The sequence below is a fragment of the Homo sapiens genome, chromosome 10, assembly GCF_000001405.40.
Source record: "Homo sapiens chromosome 10, GRCh38.p14 Primary Assembly".
Classification (NCBI taxonomy): Eukaryota; Metazoa; Chordata; class Mammalia; order Primates; family Hominidae; genus Homo; species Homo sapiens.
In genome coordinates this window covers 119,530,820-119,550,095 of record NC_000010.11, presented here as the reverse complement: position 1 = coordinate 119,550,095, position 19,276 = coordinate 119,530,820, and the positions used below count along the sequence as shown (strand labels likewise).

The following is a 19,276-nucleotide window of genomic DNA, read 5'->3' as shown; positions in this document are numbered from 1 at the left end:
TTCTCCCCCAAACAACCACTGATCTGTTTCTGTTACTATAGTTTAGTTTGCATTTTCTAGAATTTTACATAAATGAAATCATACAGTATATATCTTTTTTGGTCTGTTTTTTTTTTCATTGAGAGTAATTATTTTGATATTTACCTATGTTTTTGAATGTGTCAATAATTCATTCTTTTGTATGTTTATACCACAATTTGTTTATCCATGCAGCTGCTGACAGACATTGGGTTGTTTCCAGGTTATGACAACTAAAGCTGGCATGAACACTCATGTAAGAGTTTTTGTATGGACACGTTTTCACTTTTCTTGGGTTAAATACCTAAGAGTGGAATGTTTGGATGATATGATAGGTATGTATTTAACTTTTTAAGAAACTTCCAAGTCACCTTTGAGAGTGGCTGTACCATTTAGTATTCCCACCACCAATGTGCTCTTTCTGAGTTTTTTTTTGGAAATTGTCTTTGTTTTGAAATTTTATGCAGGTGTACCTTGTTGTAGGTCTCACATTGTGCCCGTTATGGACTCTTTGCTTTTGGAGATGAATTTTCTTCAGTGTGGGAAATTTTCATTCATTCTTTTTTTTTTTTTTAAGAGATGGAGTCTTGATATGTTGCCCAGGCTGGAGTGCTATGACTATTCATAGGTGAGATCACAGCACACTACAGCCTCAAACTCCTGAGCTTAAGCAGTCCAGCTGCCCCAGCCTCCTGAGTAGCTGGGACTACAGGTCACACCACCATGCCCATCTCAGTCTGGGCAATTTTCTTGAATTATATCTTTAATTTTCTCTCTAACATTTTCTCTGTAATGTCTTTCTGGAACTCCTATTACTTGGATTGATTCTCCAATCTTTCTTTCTTTCTCTCCTGTTGTACATTTCTTCATCTGCTCTAATCTTCAGGAGATTTCTTCACCTTTATCTTCAAACTCCTTTATTGAAATGTTTTGTTTCTACTTCATTTTTATATTCCAATCTTTCTTCTTTTATGAATGGATGAAATAGCTTCTCTCTCTCCCTCTCTGAGCTAGTTATAGTATTTTAAAAGATTCATGCCTATTCTCTCTTGTCTTTCGCCTGAATTCCTATTTTCTATTTCTCTCTGTCTCTCTCATTAGAGACGTTCCTTAAATGTCTGTGGTCTTTGCATAGTCCTCATCCTTGAGAAGGAGGTGTCCAAAGCTCTTTGGAACTGTGTGTGTGAAAGAGGCATGTGGATTGTGTATGTCTGTGTAGTTGGCCAGTGCTAACTCTGGAGAACGTTAAATGTTAATTTCCATTGTTTTGTTTTGTTTTTTGTTTTGGAGAGAGTAAATTTTTCTAGTACATCTGGCTGCTGGGGAAGGGGCTGAGGAAGAAGGGCCTCCCAATCCTGTGTACAGATCTAGGCTTAACACTCTCTTTGATGCCCACAGCTCATCTGCACCTTTAGCTCAGCCAGTAGTTCATAAGTCCAGAGCTTCTGTACTTCACTATTTCCCAAGATCATTATTTCCTAAGGTAGGTGGCAGGGGAACTGAAGTCTCCTTATATAGACTTCTATCAATCTCCCCTTTTCAGTCCTTGCCTGTCCTCTTCTCTGTGGTCTGTGCCTTTGGGTCAGGAGCTCCTCTGAGGCTCTGCAGGGTGAATTGGCTTGTTCTAACTGGCACGCCCTGCCTGCATTTAGGTTGTAGCTCCTTCCTCTTGTTAAGTGTTTCTGCTTCTCCATCTCCTTTCTGATTGGCTGAAATCTCTCTCCCATTGTTGTCTCCTTTTTCTTTTCTTTCCTTCCTTCCTTCCTCCCTTCCTTCCTCCCTTCCTCCCTTCCTTCCTTCCTTCCTTCCTTCTTTCTTTTCTTTCTTTTTTTTTTTTTTGAGATAGCGTTTCACTCTTGTTGCCCAGGCTGGAGTGCAATGGCACAATCTCGGCCCACCGCAACCTCCGCCTCCCAGGATCAAGCGATTCTCCTGCCTCAGCCTCCCGAGTAGCTGGGATTACAGGCATGTGCCGCCACGCCCGGCTGCAGACATAGACAAGCAAGCTGGATGCTTGCACGGGTGAATGCCGGCAGAAAAAAAGCTACTTGGGACTAGGCATGTTCAGAATGGCGGCTCCATCTTCCCTTGTCTTTGCCAGCCACATGTGTATAAGGAGCAGACAAGATGTCACCAGTCAAGTGGAAAACTCATTTGTGTAGTAAGATTAGGGTGGGGTGGCCAGCCTTCCCTGGGCGCTTTGTAAACGTCACATCTGATCTAACCAATCTGTGGGCCCTATGTAAATCATTCACCGCCTTCTCAAGTCTGCCTATAAAATCCAGTGAACCCCACCACTGTTGGTCTTTCCTTTCGGAAGCCCCTCTCTCTCCCTAGAGAGAGAACTGTTCTCCTTTCTCTTACTCCTGCGTATTAAACTTTCTGCTCCTTAGCCCCACACCCTCCAAAAAAGGTGGGAGTCCTGAGATGGGAAAAGGGTATTTGATATGAACTCTGGATGATAACGATGTGTCATTGTAGGTTCCTTGATTGCACAAAGGTACCTCTCTGGTGTGGGAGGTCATATGCTATAAGAGGCTATGCGTGTTTGGGGCAGGAGGCATGTGGAACTCTACTTTCTGTTCAATTTTGCTGTGAACCTAAAATTGCTCTAAAAATAAAATTTACTTTTGCCAGGTGCAGTGGCTTACGTAATCCCAGCCCTCTGGGAGGCCGAGGTGGGCAGATCACGAGATCAGGAGATGGAGACCAGCCTGGCCAACATGGTGAAATCCCATCTCTATTTATTTATTTGAGACTCCATCTCAAATAAATAAATAAATAAATAAACAAAATTAAAAATAAAAAAATTAATGAATAAATAAATACATACGTACGTACATACATAAGTAGCAGGGTATGGTGGTGCACTCCTGTAGCCCTAGCTACTCAGGAGACTGAGGTAGGGGGACTGCCTGAGCTCAGGAGTTCAAGGCTGCAGTGAGCTATGATCGCAGCACCACACTCCAGCCTGGGCGACAGAACAAGTCCCTGTCTCTAAAAAACAAAACACAAAACTGCAACAGAAATGAAGCCTTATGTATTTTTGTGGCATTAAACCCAGTAGAGATTTCAACTAGTCTCTAATTAGTGATTTTTCTCCCTGATTTAAAAGCACATACACTGCAGAAGTTTGCAAAACAGGAAAATGTAATGAAGAAAAAAGAACCCATTATCCTATTATCTAGAGATATAGTCTAGTAATATTTAGGTGTAATTAACTGCTAGCTTTCTAGGTATAAACATACCGTATTCTCCTCTTCCTCCACACTGAAAATTTTCTCTATATTTGTATCCTGATTTTTCAACGAGAGCTTCGTCTAAGATTCTTTCATCTTTCTCTTTGCACTAGTTTTTTCCACCAAGTTCCAAAGATTCTTCACAGTTTTTTATAACTGTTAAATATTCTATCAGGAGAATATGTTATACCTTAGTCATTCTCTTAGCGGGCATTTTTAGCTACTGTAAATAACCCTGATAAAAGGAAGTGTTATGTTTAATTGTACACGTAAATGTTCGCATCATTTATTGTTTTTCTTTTGGCACAAATTACCAATTATAGAATTATTCACTAGTCCAAGAGGTATAAACATTTTGAAGACTCTTACATGTGTTGTCAAATACATATATTAACACATCTGCTTCTCTTCCTTCTAGAGAGGTTGTAACAATTTACTTTCCCTCCTTCACAGTGTAGTAACAATGTGAACATCAGTGTTACTAACCCTGCCAATTTCCTATAATTGAAAAGAAATCCACTTTTGACTGGCTGTACCATAAAGTTTATCATTTATTAAAACATCATTGTAGGGGGAGTAAGAGTAATTAAAATTCCAGTAATTTTTTGTGTGCCTACATGTGCTGGGCACGATGCCAGATGCTTTTTTGTTTATTGCTATTGAATACCACTTGCTCGGAGTGTAGGTGGACCTCTCCTTGCCCTGTCCCTTGAGGCTACGATGTGTTTGAGGACACATCTGGTGTGTCCACACAGCTGGTTGCTGTTTGGTCAGATTAGTACCCAGGTCTCTTGACTTTAAGTTGGCCACTTATTCATTTTACTATACCTTGTCTGCCTCAACTGGCCTAGAATAGTCTTGTTACATAAATTCTGGTGATGAGAGGCTCTAAAATGTATTCACAGCTTACCAATATTTTAGTTTCTGGGTAGAATGAAAATATTGAACTCCAAAGCCAGTAATCCCTCTGAAATCTTGTGTTACCAGAAGACATCCGGGGCTCTTGCTTCTTGCCTGATGTAAACATCCTTGAACCAAAAGTGAGACCAGCAGGGGAAGAAAGGGGCTAAACCGCTCATCCTCTTCTTCCCCACACTGGCTACCGCAGTTTGTTTGTGAAGGCTTGACTTAGGAGGCTAAGGAGGGAGGATCACTTGAGAGCCCAGAAGTCAGAAATCAGCCTGGACAACATAGTGAAACCTCTGTCTCAAAAAAAAAAAAAAAAAAAAAAAAAAGCTTCAGAAAGTGCATGCTGGAATTACAGGAAAAATGCCATTGGGATGGTGAGCACCTTCAATCCAATGCAAACCACGGTTGGAACTTAATCGTGTGTGTGTGTGTGTGTGTGTGTGTGAGTGTGTGTGTGTATGTGTGTGTGCATTTGGCGAGTTTTAGGAGTTAGGAGGCTTTATACTTTTATACGTGGTCTTTTGCACAATACACTTTGAAAACTGGCTTTTGAACCTTCAGACACTTAAAACAGGTATTTATAGCAATTTCAATGTCCCAGGCAAAAATTTTAAACTGTGCACTTAAACGTTAACCATGCATTTTTTTTTTTTTTTTTTTTGAGATGGAGTCTTGCTCAGTCACCCAGGCTGGAGTGCAATGGCTCGATCTCAGTTCACTGCAAACTCTGCCTCCCGGGTTCAAGCGATTCTCCTGCCTCAGCCTCCTGAGTAGCTGGGATTACAGATGCCTGCCACCGCGCCTGGCTAATTTTGTATTTTTAGTAGAGATGAGGTTTCACCATGTTCGTCAGGCTGGTCTCGAACTCCCGACCTCAGGTGATCCGCCCGCCTTGGCCTCCCAAAGTGCTGGGATTACAGGTGTGAACCACCGCACCCGGCCTTTTTTTCCTTTTTTTGGAGACAGAGTCTTGCTCTGTGGCCCAGGCTGGAGTGCAGTGGTGAGATCTCAGCTCACTGCAACCTCCTCCTTCAGATCTTGGCTCACTGCAACCTCCTCCTCCCAGGCTCAAGTGATTCTTCTGTGTCAGCCTCCTGAGTAGCTGGGATTACAGGCACCTGCCACCAGGCCTGGCTAATTTTTGTATTTTTAGTACAGATGGGGCTTCACCATGTTAGCCAGGCTGGTCTTGAACTCCTGACCTCAGGTAATCCGCCTGCCTCTGCCTCCCAAAGTGCTGGGATTACAGACGTGAGCCACAGCGCCTGGCCCTAACTATGCATCTTAATTTTTGTACTTACTCTCTGATGTGCTAACAGGACAGTAAAAGTGATTTAAGGCTGTTATATTTTCCCTTTATTTAAGAGATGCCTGGGGTTCTTAGCTCAGGAGGGATTCATAGCATGTCTTAAGCCACACCAGTGTTTTTCAGGACACGCTAGGGTGGACTTGGCAACTAGCAAAACACTGAGCTGCTGTGCCTAACTTTTACCCCTGTGTGCCAGTGTGCTTATTTCCTGTCTTAGGATTACTTGTAATTTGGTCTCGGGGAAGTTTTCTGGGTGAGTGCGTTGCACCAATTCCCTTATTGTTTTAAGAACGCAGTGACCTCACTTGGATCCAGGACTCTGCCAGCATTTAAAATCCCGCTCTTACGAAAGGTGAAACTCTTGCCTATAGTTAAGTATCACAGCTTGATCCCATTACAATGAGATGGAAGTTTGTCTGGGCCCGGAGTAGGCCAACAACAGCAGTTTTAAAAGCAGAACTCCCCGCGCTGGGTCTAACCCTGTTCTTGGTCACCGCGTTCGCTTCAGGAGCCTGGAAATCCTCTTTTGGCAGCAGAAGGGGGAGAGTGCTTGGAAATGCTCGGAGGAAAACGACTTTTGGAGGGGGAATAGCGGGGAGGGAAACAACAAGCAACCACCGGCCACACTTGGGGTGCAACTGGGGCTGTGGGGTGGGTAGAGGGAGAGGGAAAGTGAGCAGAACTGGAAGCTCAGAATAGAAGATACAAAAGAAAGTGCCAAGTAGTGAAAAAAACTGCAAAAGGACGGGGGGATGGGGGGAGGGCGACTGGGGAACGGTTTGGAAAAATAGCAATTAGTACAGCTAAAAATAAAGACCAATTTAGAGACAAAGCCAGATACACAAGGAGAAAAATAAAACTCGCCAGAAAGACAATTTCTTGCAAACCAAATGTTCAAGAAAATGGGGGCTAATGACATCCCCTCTGGGGCTGCTCCATAGAAGAAATGAAATAATAGGAGACCGTAGAGCGCGCAGCGCCCAGCAGGTGACGCCGTGGGGGCTTGAGTGGTCCCGGTCGTGGAGCCTGAAGGCCCTGCCAGAGGCAGTGCCCACGTGTCCCCAAAGTTAGAGAAGTGTCCCGAGAGCGCGGTGTGCGGGACAGAGCACCGCCCGGCGCAGGAACCGGGGGGTTCCTGCAGAATCCTCTCAGATCTCCCCGAGTCCTGGCGCCCGCGCGGCACGGCCGGGGAGAGGGCGCCCACCCGCGGCGGCTCGGCTAGCTCAGCGCACGGGCCCTGGGGACGCCCCACCCGCATTCGCGGGGCGGGAAGGCGCAGCGCCCACGAAGTCGAGGAGCAGCCAGGCCCCAGCAGGCGGGGATCCTGGTGACGAGGAGGCAAAGGCCACAGGCTGGGCCGCGCCCGGACTCTGCAGAACCGCGAGGCCTAGGCTTCCCAGCCTGTGACCCGGGAGGGGACCCCGCCCGCCACCTGCGAAGGCTCGCTGAGAGCCCCGAAGCGCGGTGCGCCCGCGGCGCCGTGCCAGTTTCTCCGGGGCTACAGGGAGAAGGCGGGAGACCGCGATGGGCCCGGGAGCTTGAAGCTGGGCGGGGCGGGCCGGGGCGGCATCTCAGGCGAGGGCCAGGGACCCCGGGACGCGCTAACCGCCTCCGCGGGGCTACTAAGTTCCCGGCGGCGCGGGCTCCCTCTGGGCCAGTGCACCTTATCCCAGGCGCGGGGCACACTCTGGGCGATCGGGGGTCACCCGGGGCTGCCCTGCCCTGCCCCGCCCGGGCACCCCGGAGCGGAACCGCGAGTCCTCACCAGCGGGGGCGGGCAGGGCGCACTGAGCGCGCCACGCGGCGCCTGGCTAGGAGGAGGGCGGCGGGCGGGGACCTAGAGCTCCGGGGCGGTGCTGAGCCCGCTCCTCCTCCTTGCCCTCCTCCTCCTCCTCCTCGCCCTCCTCCTCCTCCTCGCCTTCCTCCGGCTCAGCCGCCGCGCCGCCGGGCTGCTCCTTCTTCCTCCTCGGGCGCCCGCGGCGATGTTCAACCGCGCCGTGAGCCGGCTGAGCAGGAAGCGGCCGCCGTCAGGTAAGCGGCTTCGGGGGCCCGCGGGCTCGGGGTCGGGGCGCCGTTTCGCCCGCCCGGCCTCCTGCCCTCCCTCTTGTGCTCGGGCGCGGCTCGGTGGTACCTCCCAGACTGGAGCCCCGGCCGACCGCACCACCTCTCCCCGCTGGGTACCGCACCTTCGCGGTCCCAGCCGCGACGGGAGCGCAGAGCTCCTCCGGGAGCCCCGGGGAGGAAGTTTGGCTGAAAGAGGAACAGCCGCAGTTTTCTTTTTAGTGATGGTCTGGGAGAAAAAGGAGCGCCCCAAATCTCCAAACTTTGGAGGTGACATGGGGCTCCAGATTCCGAAAGCGGAACGGCGCGCGGGCTTCTCCCTCCGTGACGCTCTCCGCCTCCGCTGCGGGCGTGGGTGGAAGGATGCCGAGCGCCCGGGGGAGCACGGCTGGACCCGGGCATCCGACTGGGCCCCTGGGCCTGGGGCGTCGGGGGCCTTCGCTTCTGCCGCGAGGAGCCAAAAGGTGGGATCGCGAGGGTGGCGGAACCCCAGGATGGAGAAGGGCACTTCTGCGGTCCGAGCCAGCGAAGTTCTGACGTTACGAAGGATTCGCCTTGGCCGTCACTTTGGGCCAGCCTGAGCCACGATCTCGGGCAACTTGATAGGCCAAAGACCCCACGGTGAAGGTGGAGCCGTGCCCTTGATTCCGGTCCTTCCACCCTTTTGCTCATCACAATAGCTACGACCTGTGCAGGCCTTTGGGTGCGCCAAGGGCTTTGTCCACCGCGTTGGGTGAACTCTCCCTTCACCCCTAGGACAACCCGGTGAGTGAGGAGGGAGCGGAAGCCAGGCGCTGTTAGGTAACTTGCCCCAGTCACACTCCGCAGGTGATGGGGAGGCTTTCAAACCCAGGTTCCCCTGACTCTGAAGTTCGGGGGCTTTGCCGGGCTTCCCACGCCAAGATTCACTTCTGCTTGGCGCTCAGAGTCCCAACGCGTTGGTGCATTTCCTTTCTGCTCCTGGTATTTTATGAGGGACATTGTGGTTTAGAGACTGGGACCAGACTGGCTGGATCCGAATCTCACCTTCGCCATATTCACCAGCCGTGGGACCTTTCTGCAGAATGAGGTTCTGCACAGTGGGAATAACAGTAGCTACTCGCCTTTTAAAGTACTTAATTGGAACCTGTCTTCCATCCATCAGGTTTTGCAAATTATTGTATTTAATATGTAGGATTTCATAGGGTTGTTGTAATGATCTTACATTGTTGCCCGGCAAGTACTAAGTGCTCCGTTAGCGTTAGTGGTCATGTAAACCTTTTTGTGTTGCATGTGAGTCAAAGAATTCCCTTGTGGGTGTTAATGTTAACCAGTCTCTATGGTTGGCACAGGCCTGTGGAGCGCTGCTCAGAGCCTGGACTCGAATTAAACTCTTGGTTCTAACCTTGACTCTGTCATTCAGCAACACTGGGCAAATTACTTGATCTCTCTGTGCCTCCGTTTCAGTGATGTGCTGGAGCTGGCTCAAACTGGCTTGCAAGAGCCAGTTGCCAAATATTCAAAAAGTTTGGAAACTGGTTGTAAACCATAGGTAGCTTGAAAGTAGTTATGATGGGATATTTACATCATGAAAATCAACAAAGCTAAAAATGAAGGCTTCATTTTGACTCAGGAGAGCTGATGTTCCAGCACCTTTCTCCACCTGCAAAGTGGGTTTCATAGGGTTATGGGATTAAATACTCAAAACCATATGAAGCCCCTAGTACAATGTGTGGCACATAATAAAAGTGTAATAATTAGTAGCTTTTCTCCCTTTTGCCTGTTATAAATAGAGCTGCTATGAATAGCCCTGTACGCGTTACTTATTACTTTAGATTGCTTTTGGGTTGAAGACTGACAGATAGAACCATTGTATCCTGGGAGATACATGGATTTGGGGTGATTTTGCGTGTAGCCAGGTTGCACCCCAAAAAGGCTGAAGGCAGTTTTAGGGAACAAATTATTTCAGGGCAACAAATTTTAAACCTCATAAAATGTGGTTACATCACTGACAGAAAGGTCGGTCTCAGGCCGGGCTCAGTGGCTCACACCTGTGATCCCAGCACTTTGGGAGGCTGAGGCAGGAGGATTGCTTGAGCCCAGGAGTTCCAGATAAGCCTGGGAAACATGGCAAAACCCCGTCTCTACAAAAAAATTAAAAAATTAGCCAGGCATGGTGATGCGTGCCTGTAGTCCCAGCTCCTTAGACGGCTGAAGTGAGAGGATGGCTTGAGCCTGGGAGGTTGAGGCTACAGTGAGCTTAGATCGTGCCACTGCACTTCACCCTGGGTGACAGAGTGAGATCCAAAGAAAAGGAAAGAAGGAAGGAAGGGAGGAAGGAAGAAAAAAGGAAGGAAGGAAGGAAGATCAGCCACTAAACATCATGGATTGGTACTGGATGCCTCCACTCCAATAGCCTGATTTTCTTTGGAATTGTAGGTGTAGGGTCTTTCCCCATTATGGAAAATAACATAAGTTCTTGCCTGACTGGTCATCACCACCCAGCCGTGTGAAAAGAAGAAGCCTAGTGAGAAAGGGGTCATTTGGGCCTGTGGGCCGAGGTACTGAGAAGACAGCCAAGTGATTTTTGGGACCCTGTACTTAATTTTTTTTTTTTTTTTGTAATTTTGAATTATTTTTCTTAAAGAGGATCCTCAAATTGTATAAACTTCAGGCTCCACAAAAGCCAGAGCTGCTCCTGCAGGACCCCTGATTTGGACCTGGCTGTGGTCCTGCCTCCCCCAGTACCTTCTATTTTACACTTTTCCTACCTTTCAGCAAAATCTCACTGGAGACACTGTCTTTCCGCGGAGGATTTTGAGTTCCTAACCCCTCCTTCCAAGGTTCAGAGTGGGATTTCCTTATTCTTCCTGAGGTTTCTCAAAGTGTGTTCCACCCGTCCTGTGGGTTCAGGAGGGCTTTGATAAAGTGCAGCTTCTCAGGCCTTGCCCAGACTGATTCAGTGTTGGGGACTGTAGGTGGGGCTTGTCTTTGACAAGCACCCCAGAGAATTCTCAGGCCAGTGAAATGTGAGGGTCCCCCAACGGGATTCTGTCCACTCACCCTGCCCAGTTATCAACCTTGCATTGTTGATAGCTGAAATATGCCCATCTGAGATGCCAAGCTGAAGCCACCCGACTCCCTACCCCTGCAGCTGCACCCAGGGGTGACCTCTCAGGGGAATTCCCACCCTGCCGGGCAGGTTTCGGCCGTCCCCTCGGGCCTGTCATACAGGATCCGATTAAACCCTTGGGAACAGTTTTAAGTTTATGGCTGGGCTTGTTTTATTTAAAGATGACAGTTTGCACAGCAATTTAATGTCTTTGTTTTAACAACTCGGCAGCAGGGTAGCCTTGGCAGCTGGGACAACTTTCTCTGCAGAATATCACTGGCCCAGGCCTGGGGGGACAGAGGGGCCAGCCGAAGGGCCTTGTTTTCTATAGGTGTGGTCAGCTTATGAGCCAGTTGAGCCTCTGGGACCTGCTCTGGGCACCACCTAGTGCAGCCCGTAGCCTGGTGGGTGTGAGGTGCTCACGGTGTTTTATCTCTGTTGGCTGATTTGTATTTGATGTGATGTCTCCTTTCTTCATGGTTAGAAAATGTAGATGCCTGGCATGGCCATTTCCTAGGGCTTCCTGGGTGAACTGAGTCACTTCCCTCCCTGGGTGGAGTGAGTCCCCAGATGCTGGGCTCTGGGAACCTGTTGCTTAAACTGCACTAAATTTATGCCCCCAAGTTTCTTCTGCTTCCCCCAGATAGTTCTTTGCTGCAGCAGCCTGCGGGTGGCAGCAGGAGCGGAGGGGGCCCCAGCAGGCAGCAGCAGTGGCCCCTTGATAAGAGCTGTCAGGCGGCATCCGCTGGAGTGAGACAGTCCCTTGCAGACTTGTGGGGACAAATTTCCCTTCCAAGCAAGTTCCCATCTGTCAAGAGCCCTGCTAAGCTCCCTCAGGTCCACCTTGCTGCCCCACTGCCTGGTGGGGGACCCCTTATCTGACTGAGTCCTTCCCAGCCCCATTTTTCCTGCTCCCTACTCTACCCCTGGAGGGACTGGACAATACTCCCTCTGTGCCTTTGCTCCCCCAGCTGTCCTTTGTCCTGTCCCAAAGCCTGGGTCCCCCTGCTCCAACAGACCCACCCTTCTAGGCCTCGCTGCCTCCCACCCTCCATGCTTGACAGAGCAGCTTGTCTGAGCAGGAGGGAACCATTTCATTTCTCCCTCAAGGGCTGCAGAGGCCACTAAGGGGCAGGGACTTGTCCGGAGGCACCCATTTCTGAAGGGGCAGAGAACTCAAGTCTTGGACCCAAGTCCACGGCCACCTAAACACAACAACCATTTAGCGACTTTGCTAAAATATATTTAGAGAATGAATGTGGAGCTGACAACTTTCCTCCCTTCCTCCATCCCTCTCTCCTCCACTCCCTCCCTCCCTTCCTTCTTCCCTCCCTCCTTCCCTCCCTTCCTTCTTTTCTGTAGTCAGGACATTAGAAACAAACAAAGCCATCATCAAACACCTTTATCATTTCACACAGAAAAGGACATTTTAACACCCCCAATAGTAGGAAAGATATAATCTCAGGTAAAGAGCTGTCCTGATCCACAGAATCTTGTAGAGGTTGTCGCTCCTGGGGAGAGACACTGGGCACCTGAGGGACAGAGGTGTGAGGAAGACTATTACACCACACTCCCTTTTGTATGTCCTGCACTGTGCCCCACGTAAAGAAACATAGTGATCTATTTCAAAGCAAAAGCAAAACAAGCAACCCAAGACTGTCCTTCCTCTACCAGCACAGTTCACTTGGTAAATATTTCCTAGTCTTCCTTCTCGTTTATTTGTGGACTAGTGAAGAAAACCGCCTACCAGCCCGTGGCACTGTGGGCAGGCGGCCACCTGGGAACCCCTGGCCTCCTCTCCTCAATTCATTTTAAGTTCTGTGAGAAAATAGCCCCCACCTTTCATTTCTGGCATCTTTCTCTGTGTTTTTCTCTCCAGCCAGACAACCTGGGGTTGCATCCCAGCTCATCCACTTCCTTGCTTGCTTCTTTGTAGCAAATTATTTATCGTCTCTGTGCCTCAGTTTCCTGATCTGTAAAATGGGGCCCTTGAGGAAACTAGCTTGCAAGGATTGTTGCAAAGTTTCGATGGGATATAGTAAGTGCTCAGTAAATGTCAACTTTTCTTTTTCTTTTTTTTTTTTTTGAGACGGAGTTTCACTCTTGTTGCCCACGCTGGAGTGCAATGGCGCAATCTCGGCTCACGGCAACCTCTACCTCCGGGGTTCAAGCCATTCTCCTGCCTCAGCCTCCTGAGTAGCTGGGATTACACGCATGCACCACCACGCCTGGCTAATTTTGTATTTTTAGGTTTCTCCACATTGGTCGGGCTGGTCTCAAACTCCCGACCTCAGGTGATCTGCCCGCCTCGGCCTCCCAAAGTGCTGGGATTACAGGCGTGAGCCACCACGCCTGGCCTCAACTATTTTTAATAGCTATCCGTCCTCCTTTCTGTGCCCTCTACCCTTAGCCTGGTGCCTGGCTTGGCTCATTCCTTAGAAAATGTTTATCACTATAAAATATATACTTGAGTGCCAGACATCATGCTGACCCTGAGGAAGACTCAGCCCTTGCTTTCAAGAAATGCACCATCCACCTGACTGACCCTGGAGGAAAAAGTCATTTACTTTGCCTCGAGGGAGGGTGCGGGACAGATTGAGGCAGAGTAGGAGGGTGAGGGCAGCTTTACGCAGAAATGTCAGGCCCCAGAGGACACACAGGGGCTTCTGGAAGTGGAGAAAATCGATGACAGGGTCTTTGTTTTCGGGCTAGGGCTGCTGGGCCATTTTCTTTTTTCTGGACTTTGCCTAGAAAGTGGAGAGTCTAGGGAGGCTACAAATAACAGTTTGGCGTTCTTATTTCCTTCCCTCTAGTAGAAACTGGAAACCAGTGGCCATCTGTTGTTTAGTCCACTTAAAAGAGGATGTTGAGGCTTGTTTTTTCTTCGGACCCAAGGGTGCTCGGGAGCCCTCCAGTCTCTGCCTTTCTCACACAAGGCGTCTCTGGGAAGGCAGTGGATTGTTGGTCTGCGTGGAACTTCTCAGGTGGACACCAGAGCATGGAACGTAAGGAATCGCCCCCACCCCTTTCCATGTCCGCAGTTTGCCTGTCGCCTTGGCCCTGGGCGGGGCAGGGGCTGGGAAGAGTGTGCTGTGAGGACACAGAGGTGCACAGGTGACTGTGGAAGGGCCAGTAGGAGCACTTGGCTTTCTGTGAGTCCCGAACCCTCGTGTGAAAACGCCACGATGCCCTTTCTGAGTGGAGCCAACCCTCTGCCACCAGCTTTCCTGCTCCTGACTTGGATGCTGGCTATTACTATGATTATTGAAAAACTTTTTTCACTTTTGATGTTATTTCCTGCTAACTGCAGTTCAATCAGATCTCTCTGGCAAGGGAATTGCATGCAGGTGGGGTAGTTATTCTCAGCAGCTAGATACTGGAGCCGATAAACACTTAAGTAATATTTAGATACCATGTTTCCATGACCCAGTTTCTCTGGAGCCTTACACAGATCACCAGTTGTAACAAAATGACTCTCTGATTCTAAATTGGGAGGACTTTTTAAAAAATGTACTACACTTGATGTGGTATAGGTGACAAGAGGTTTTAAATAAGTTTTGTGGGGTGTGTACTTTCTTTGAAACTTCATTACAAAGTAGAGTATTTTAAAGGAGTACAGTGTGTGTGTGCACGCCTGTGCATGTGAGTTGTACCAAACCACTTTGGAATTTAGGGTTAATATCTCTGCCTTTTCCTGGACTCGAATGTTTAATAGTCTGTGAGTTTGGGGGAGTACTTAGGACAAACCTTCTGAGGATGTAAGTTGACTCTGCTGTTGAGGAAACTGGATAGTGAGATATTACTAAAATATTATTTGACTTGGAGAAATTGTCTATGCAGGATGATTACACAGACCTTCCTGCAAATTAACAGCAGAAATCCATGCTGTGAGCATTCATCTCCGATGAGTGTTACAGATGCCTTTTGAGTATGGATTTCCAAGGAATTAATGTCTGGAGAAGGTCTCTGTTAGATATGACATCATAGCATCTATAAATAATGCATCATAAAATAAGCTGCAAGCAACCAGCCCCAGCCATCTGCACTGTGATGCTTCACCCATCCTTGAAATAATGGCTTTTACTGACGCCAGAAGCCACATAGGACAGCATAATCATAAATGGAAAACGCATATACATTGTGTTTGTGTGCTGGATGATTCCACCTGGTCTTATGTGACTTTTTTTTTTTTTTTTTCTGCATGGATTGGACTCTTAACAGTTTTCTGTTTTTTCCCCAAAGTGTGATTGTTCTTGGTCTCTTAAAGGCTGTTGTGTTCTGGCCTCTGTGAGTATAAAGATCAGCAGATATAAAAGCTAAAAATGGCAGTAGAGCCCTTGGTAAAGAGCGTGTACTCTGGAGCAGGAGTACCTGGGTTTGGGCCGTGATTTCCCATTTTCTAGCTGGGACGCTTGTAAGTTACCGTGCCTCAGTTTCTTCGTCTGCAAAGTGGAAATAATACTAACCACGTCAGTAGGTTATTGTGAGAACTGAATCATTTAATTCAGGTAAAAGCTTGGAACGGTACCCAGCACACTGTAAATCATTTGCAAGTTTTTCTTTTTTCTTTTTATTTTTTTGAGACAGAGTCTTGCTCTGTCACCAGGCTGGAGTGCAGTGGCTTGATCTCGGCTCACTGCAACCTCCGCCTCCCAGGTTCAAGCAATCCTCCTGCTTCAGCCTCCCGAGTAGCTGGAACTACAGGCGTGCACCACCACACCTGGCTAATTTTTTGTATTTTTAGTATAGATGGGGTTTCAGCACATTGGCTAGGATGGTTTCGATCTCTTGACCTCGTGATCTGCCTGCCTCAGCCTCCCAAAGTGCTGGGATTACAGGCGTGAGCCACCGCGCCAACCTTTTTTTTTTTTTTTTTTTGAGACAGAGTCTCGCTCTGTCACCCAGGCTGGAGTGTAGTGGCACGATCTCGGCTGACTGCAACCTCCGCCTCCTGGGTTCAAGCAATTCTTCTGCCTCAGCCTCCCGAGTAGCTGAGACTATAGGCACGTGCTACCATGCCTGGCTAATTTTTGTAATTTTAGTAGAGACAGGGTTTCATCGTATTGTTCAGGCTGGTCTTGAACTCCTGACCTCGTGATCCGCCTGCCTCGGCCTCCCAAAGTGCTGGGATTACAGACATGAGCCACAGTGCCTGGCCTTTTTTATTTATTTATTTATTTATTTATTTATTTATTTATTTATTTATTTATTTTAAGACAGGTTCTTGTTTTGTTGCTCAGGCTGGAGTGCAGTGGTATGATCTCAGCTCACTGCAACCTCCGCCTCCCGGGTTCAAGTGATTCTCCTGTCTCAGCCTCCCGTGTAGCTGGGGATTACAGGAGTGCACCACCATACCCGGCTAATTTTTGTATTTTTTGTAGAGACGTGGTTTTGCCATGTTGCCCAGGCTGGTCTTGAATGCCTGGCCTCAAGTGATCCACCCACCTCGGCCTCCCAAAGTGCTGGGATTACAGGTGTGAGCCACCATGCCTGGCCCATCTGAAGTATTAACCATTATTATTAGCTAATGACAGAGTAGTCTGAAAATAAATTTGCTGAAAAATACGTATTTTGCATGCAAAAAATTTGAAGATCTAAAATGACGTAAAGAGCCCAGGAGCTAAGAAAACAAAATGAAACACCAAAAACTTTTATTCATTGCAAAAATGTTTTACAGCTGAAGTAAACAATGACAACAAAAATAAAACAGCATGATAAAATTGAAACAAACAAATATCACAAGCAGGTCTTCCCTAGCTGGAGAGATCGTAAAGCTGCTGGAGAACATGCCTGACATTTTTTCCACCTATTCATGTCAGTCCTGCTTTCTTGTGTAATCTGTCTGAAATGGAAACTTTTATCAATGAAAAGGGATAGAAGAATATTGCAACTTTGTGGATCCAGGTACCAGAAGTTGGGCAGCTGGGAAATCTTGGTTTTGCTTTATTCTTAAGTTCAGAGGTAAACCTGCTTTGCTATTGAGAAAGAGTATTTATTTCTTCTAATATTACTGGACTGGTTGTAACATTTATTTATGTATGTATATATGTATTTATTTACTTACTTACTTTAACCTGCTTCCCCTTCCACCTTGGTTGTTAACATTTTTTTCTTTTTTTTTTTAAACTTTTTTCCCTAAGACGGAGTCTCTCTCTGTCACCCAGGCTGGAGTGCAGTGGCGCAATCTCAGCTCACTGCAACTTCCGCCTCCCGGGTTCAAACAATTCTCCTGCCTCAGCCTCCTGAGTAGCTAGGATTACAGGTGCGTGCCACCATGCCCGGCTAATTTTTGTATTCCATGTTGGCCAGGCAGGTTTTGAACTGACCTCGTGATCTGGCTGCCTCAGCCTCCTAAAGTGCTGGGATTATAGGCGTGAGCCACTGTGCCCGGCCTCTTTTCTTTTTTTATGATTTTTTTTTTTTTTTTTTGAGACAGCGTCTGGCTCTGTCACCCAGGCTGGAGTGCAGTGGCGCAATATCGGCTCACTGTAGTTTCTGCTTCCTGGGCTCGAGTGATCCTTCCACCTCAGCCTCCTGAATAGCTGGGCCTACAGGCCCATACCACCATGACCAGCTAATTTTTGTGGTTTTTTTGGTTTGTTTGTTTTTGTTTTATTTTGTTTTGTTTGAGACAGAGTCTTGCCCTGTCACCCAGGCTGGAGTGCAATGGTGCCATCTCGGCTCACTGCAACCTCCACCTCCTGGGTTCAAGTAATTCTCCTGCCTCAGCCTCCCGAGTAGCTGGGATTACAGGTGCGCACCACCACTCCAGGCTAATTGTTTGTATCTTTAGTAGAGACAGGGTTTCACCATGTTGGCCAGGCTGATCTCGAACTCCTGACTTTGTGATCTGCCCATCTCGTCCTCCCAAAGTGCTGGTGTGAGTTGCCACGCCTGGCCTAATTTTTGTATTTTTTGTGGAGACGGGATTTCACCATGTTGCCCAGGCTGGTCTTGAACTCCTGAGCTCAAGCAATCTGCCTGCCTTGGCCTCCCAAAGTGCTGGTATTACAGGCATGAGCCACCGCGCCCACGGGTCGTAACTGAGCTGAGATGGCTTAGGAATTCATTACTTAGTGTGTCCCCTGAGCAGGGGACCCTGAGTTGCAGAAGTGCCCTCAGCCTAAGGGCTATCCCTGTCTGCTCAGTCATATTGGAGGCTGGGGATAGTGACTTGGAAAAGAGAGATGCCACTGGGTGAGTGGAGTTTGCAAATGCTGTCTCATCAAGATCTGTCTATACTGATATCAGTCAAGATGGATTTGAAAAGGGTGGGGTGCCATAGCCAAAAGCCTTAAACTTGAAAGACAGTCAGGAAGTCTTAGAAAAATTCAAACCAACATTTTTGGGGAAAATAAAAACTTATGACAGATAGAGAGCAGGTATCTCAGATAGAAGGATCTTCTATTCCACTTATGGGGACAGAAGGTGAGCAAAAAGGCAAGAAGGAATTGCTCTTTATCTAGAGCACCATAGCCAGAAAACCAATACCCATGGCTATAAAAAGCAGCTCCATCTTGGCATACTTTCTGACCCGTCCCTGAAAACTCCATGCTCTTCTGTAATAGTGTCAATTGTTAACGTATTTCATGGCATATGATATAAGGGAGATCTTAGCCCAGGAGACCATGGAATGGAAGGGCCCATCGGTTTTCTAACTATGTTCCCAGGAGCCCTGGGATTCTGCAGACATGGCCCTGGTGAGGACAGCTGACCTCCCATACAGGTCCCAGTATTGGGTCCATCCAGTGATTCATTAGCTGCATCACCTTGGATAGGTCATTCTATCTTCTGGATTTTTGCTTCCCAGTCTATAAAATGAGGTGGTGGGGGAGGTGGGCCTGGACCACATTAGTGTGTTTTGAGTTGTAAAATTTTTTGTTCAAATGAAAACACATTTGAACACATAAACCTAATATGCAAAAATGATTAGAGTATGAAATAAAGGGTGGGGGTTGGCAATTGTCTAACAGTGAGGTCAGTTCTTTTAACTCTCAGACATTTTGTTGGCTAAATGGTAATCTACTGTGTGTATTTATTTGCAAGACAGCGTGGCAGTGAAAACCCAAACATGGTCTGGTTTATTATGGAAAAGAATGTCAAGAGTTTTGGAATCCTTTCAGACCAAGGTTGAAAACTTATGGCCAAAGTGGTTCTGCCATGGCAAGAGAAATTTGCAGCTGCCTAGATTGTTCCTGGAACAGTGAACTTGTGTCTCTAGATTTATTTACTTAAGAGAAGATCTGCTGGGGAAATGGAGTAAACTGTCAAACTGTATTCTCTGGGCAAAGAGCAGAAGAGTAAATTAGTGGAATGCTTGGCAGAATGAACCCTGCTGCAGAAATTTCTTGTAATAATGATCTTTTAATTGGATTTATACTTTGTTGGAAAGAAACTCAGTGTTCAGGAACTTGCCACTGCAGCATTTACAAAGAGAACAGGGAACTAATTTAATATCCACGAACTGGAGGGTCACTTTAGAAAAGCATCAGCTCCATTTGGTGATGTGTTTAAGTGAGTTTCCTTCATGGTTAGAGGAAAGGATTTGTCCCAAATAATTCTCTTACGTACTCTATTGCCAATGAGCATTGAAGCATGGTCCCTGCTGGGTTTCTGGGTTTCTGCTTTATTGATGATTGATTGATTGAG

The 19,276-nt window shown here is 47.6% G+C and overlaps 1 protein-coding gene across 2 annotated transcripts in view, besides 7 other annotated features; it reads left to right on the top strand.

Moving 5' to 3' along the window:
* Positions 5,614-6,122: an enhancer, noted in NCBI's record as "NANOG hESC enhancer chr10:121303486-121303994 (GRCh37/hg19 assembly coordinates)". NCBI's record gives its function as "activates a minimal SCP1, AML or CMV promoter by ChIP-STARR-seq in primed H9 embryonic stem cells {active_cell/tissue: H9 hESC(primed)}" and the evidence as "EXISTENCE:reporter gene assay evidence [ECO:0000049][PMID:30033119]".
* Positions 6,385-6,464: an enhancer, noted in NCBI's record as "active region_4125". NCBI's record gives its function as "activates an Ori minimal core promoter by ATAC-STARR-seq in GM12878 lymphoblastoid cells {active_cell/tissue: GM12878}" and the evidence as "EXISTENCE:reporter gene assay evidence [ECO:0000049][PMID:35858748]".
* Positions 6,675-6,834: a silencer, noted in NCBI's record as "silent region_2877". NCBI's record gives its function as "represses an Ori minimal core promoter by ATAC-STARR-seq in GM12878 lymphoblastoid cells {active_cell/tissue: GM12878}" and the evidence as "EXISTENCE:reporter gene assay evidence [ECO:0000049][PMID:35858748]".
* Positions 6,885-6,954: a silencer, noted in NCBI's record as "silent region_2876". NCBI's record gives its function as "represses an Ori minimal core promoter by ATAC-STARR-seq in GM12878 lymphoblastoid cells {active_cell/tissue: GM12878}" and the evidence as "EXISTENCE:reporter gene assay evidence [ECO:0000049][PMID:35858748]".
* Positions 6,965-7,704: a silencer, noted in NCBI's record as "silent region_2875". NCBI's record gives its function as "represses an Ori minimal core promoter by ATAC-STARR-seq in GM12878 lymphoblastoid cells {active_cell/tissue: GM12878}" and the evidence as "EXISTENCE:reporter gene assay evidence [ECO:0000049][PMID:35858748]".
* RGS10 (regulator of G protein signaling 10) overlaps positions 7,377-19,276 on the top strand; it is a 42,903-nt gene continuing 31,003 nt past the window's right edge. The window contains exon 1 of one of the 2 annotated variants that reach the window (NM_001005339.2): positions 7,377-7,506. In NM_001005339.2, coding sequence (NP_001005339.1) covers positions 7,458-7,506 — 49 coding nt within the window. In that variant the 5' untranslated portion in view covers positions 7,377-7,457. Of the gene's footprint in view, positions 7,507-13,509; positions 13,633-19,276 lie in introns of those variants that run through there. The other variant, NM_002925.4, reaches the window with a different exon arrangement.
* Positions 7,755-7,924: a silencer, noted in NCBI's record as "silent region_2874". NCBI's record gives its function as "represses an Ori minimal core promoter by ATAC-STARR-seq in GM12878 lymphoblastoid cells {active_cell/tissue: GM12878}" and the evidence as "EXISTENCE:reporter gene assay evidence [ECO:0000049][PMID:35858748]".
* Positions 11,239-11,338: an enhancer, noted in NCBI's record as "active region_4124". NCBI's record gives its function as "activates an Ori minimal core promoter by ATAC-STARR-seq in GM12878 lymphoblastoid cells {active_cell/tissue: GM12878}" and the evidence as "EXISTENCE:reporter gene assay evidence [ECO:0000049][PMID:35858748]".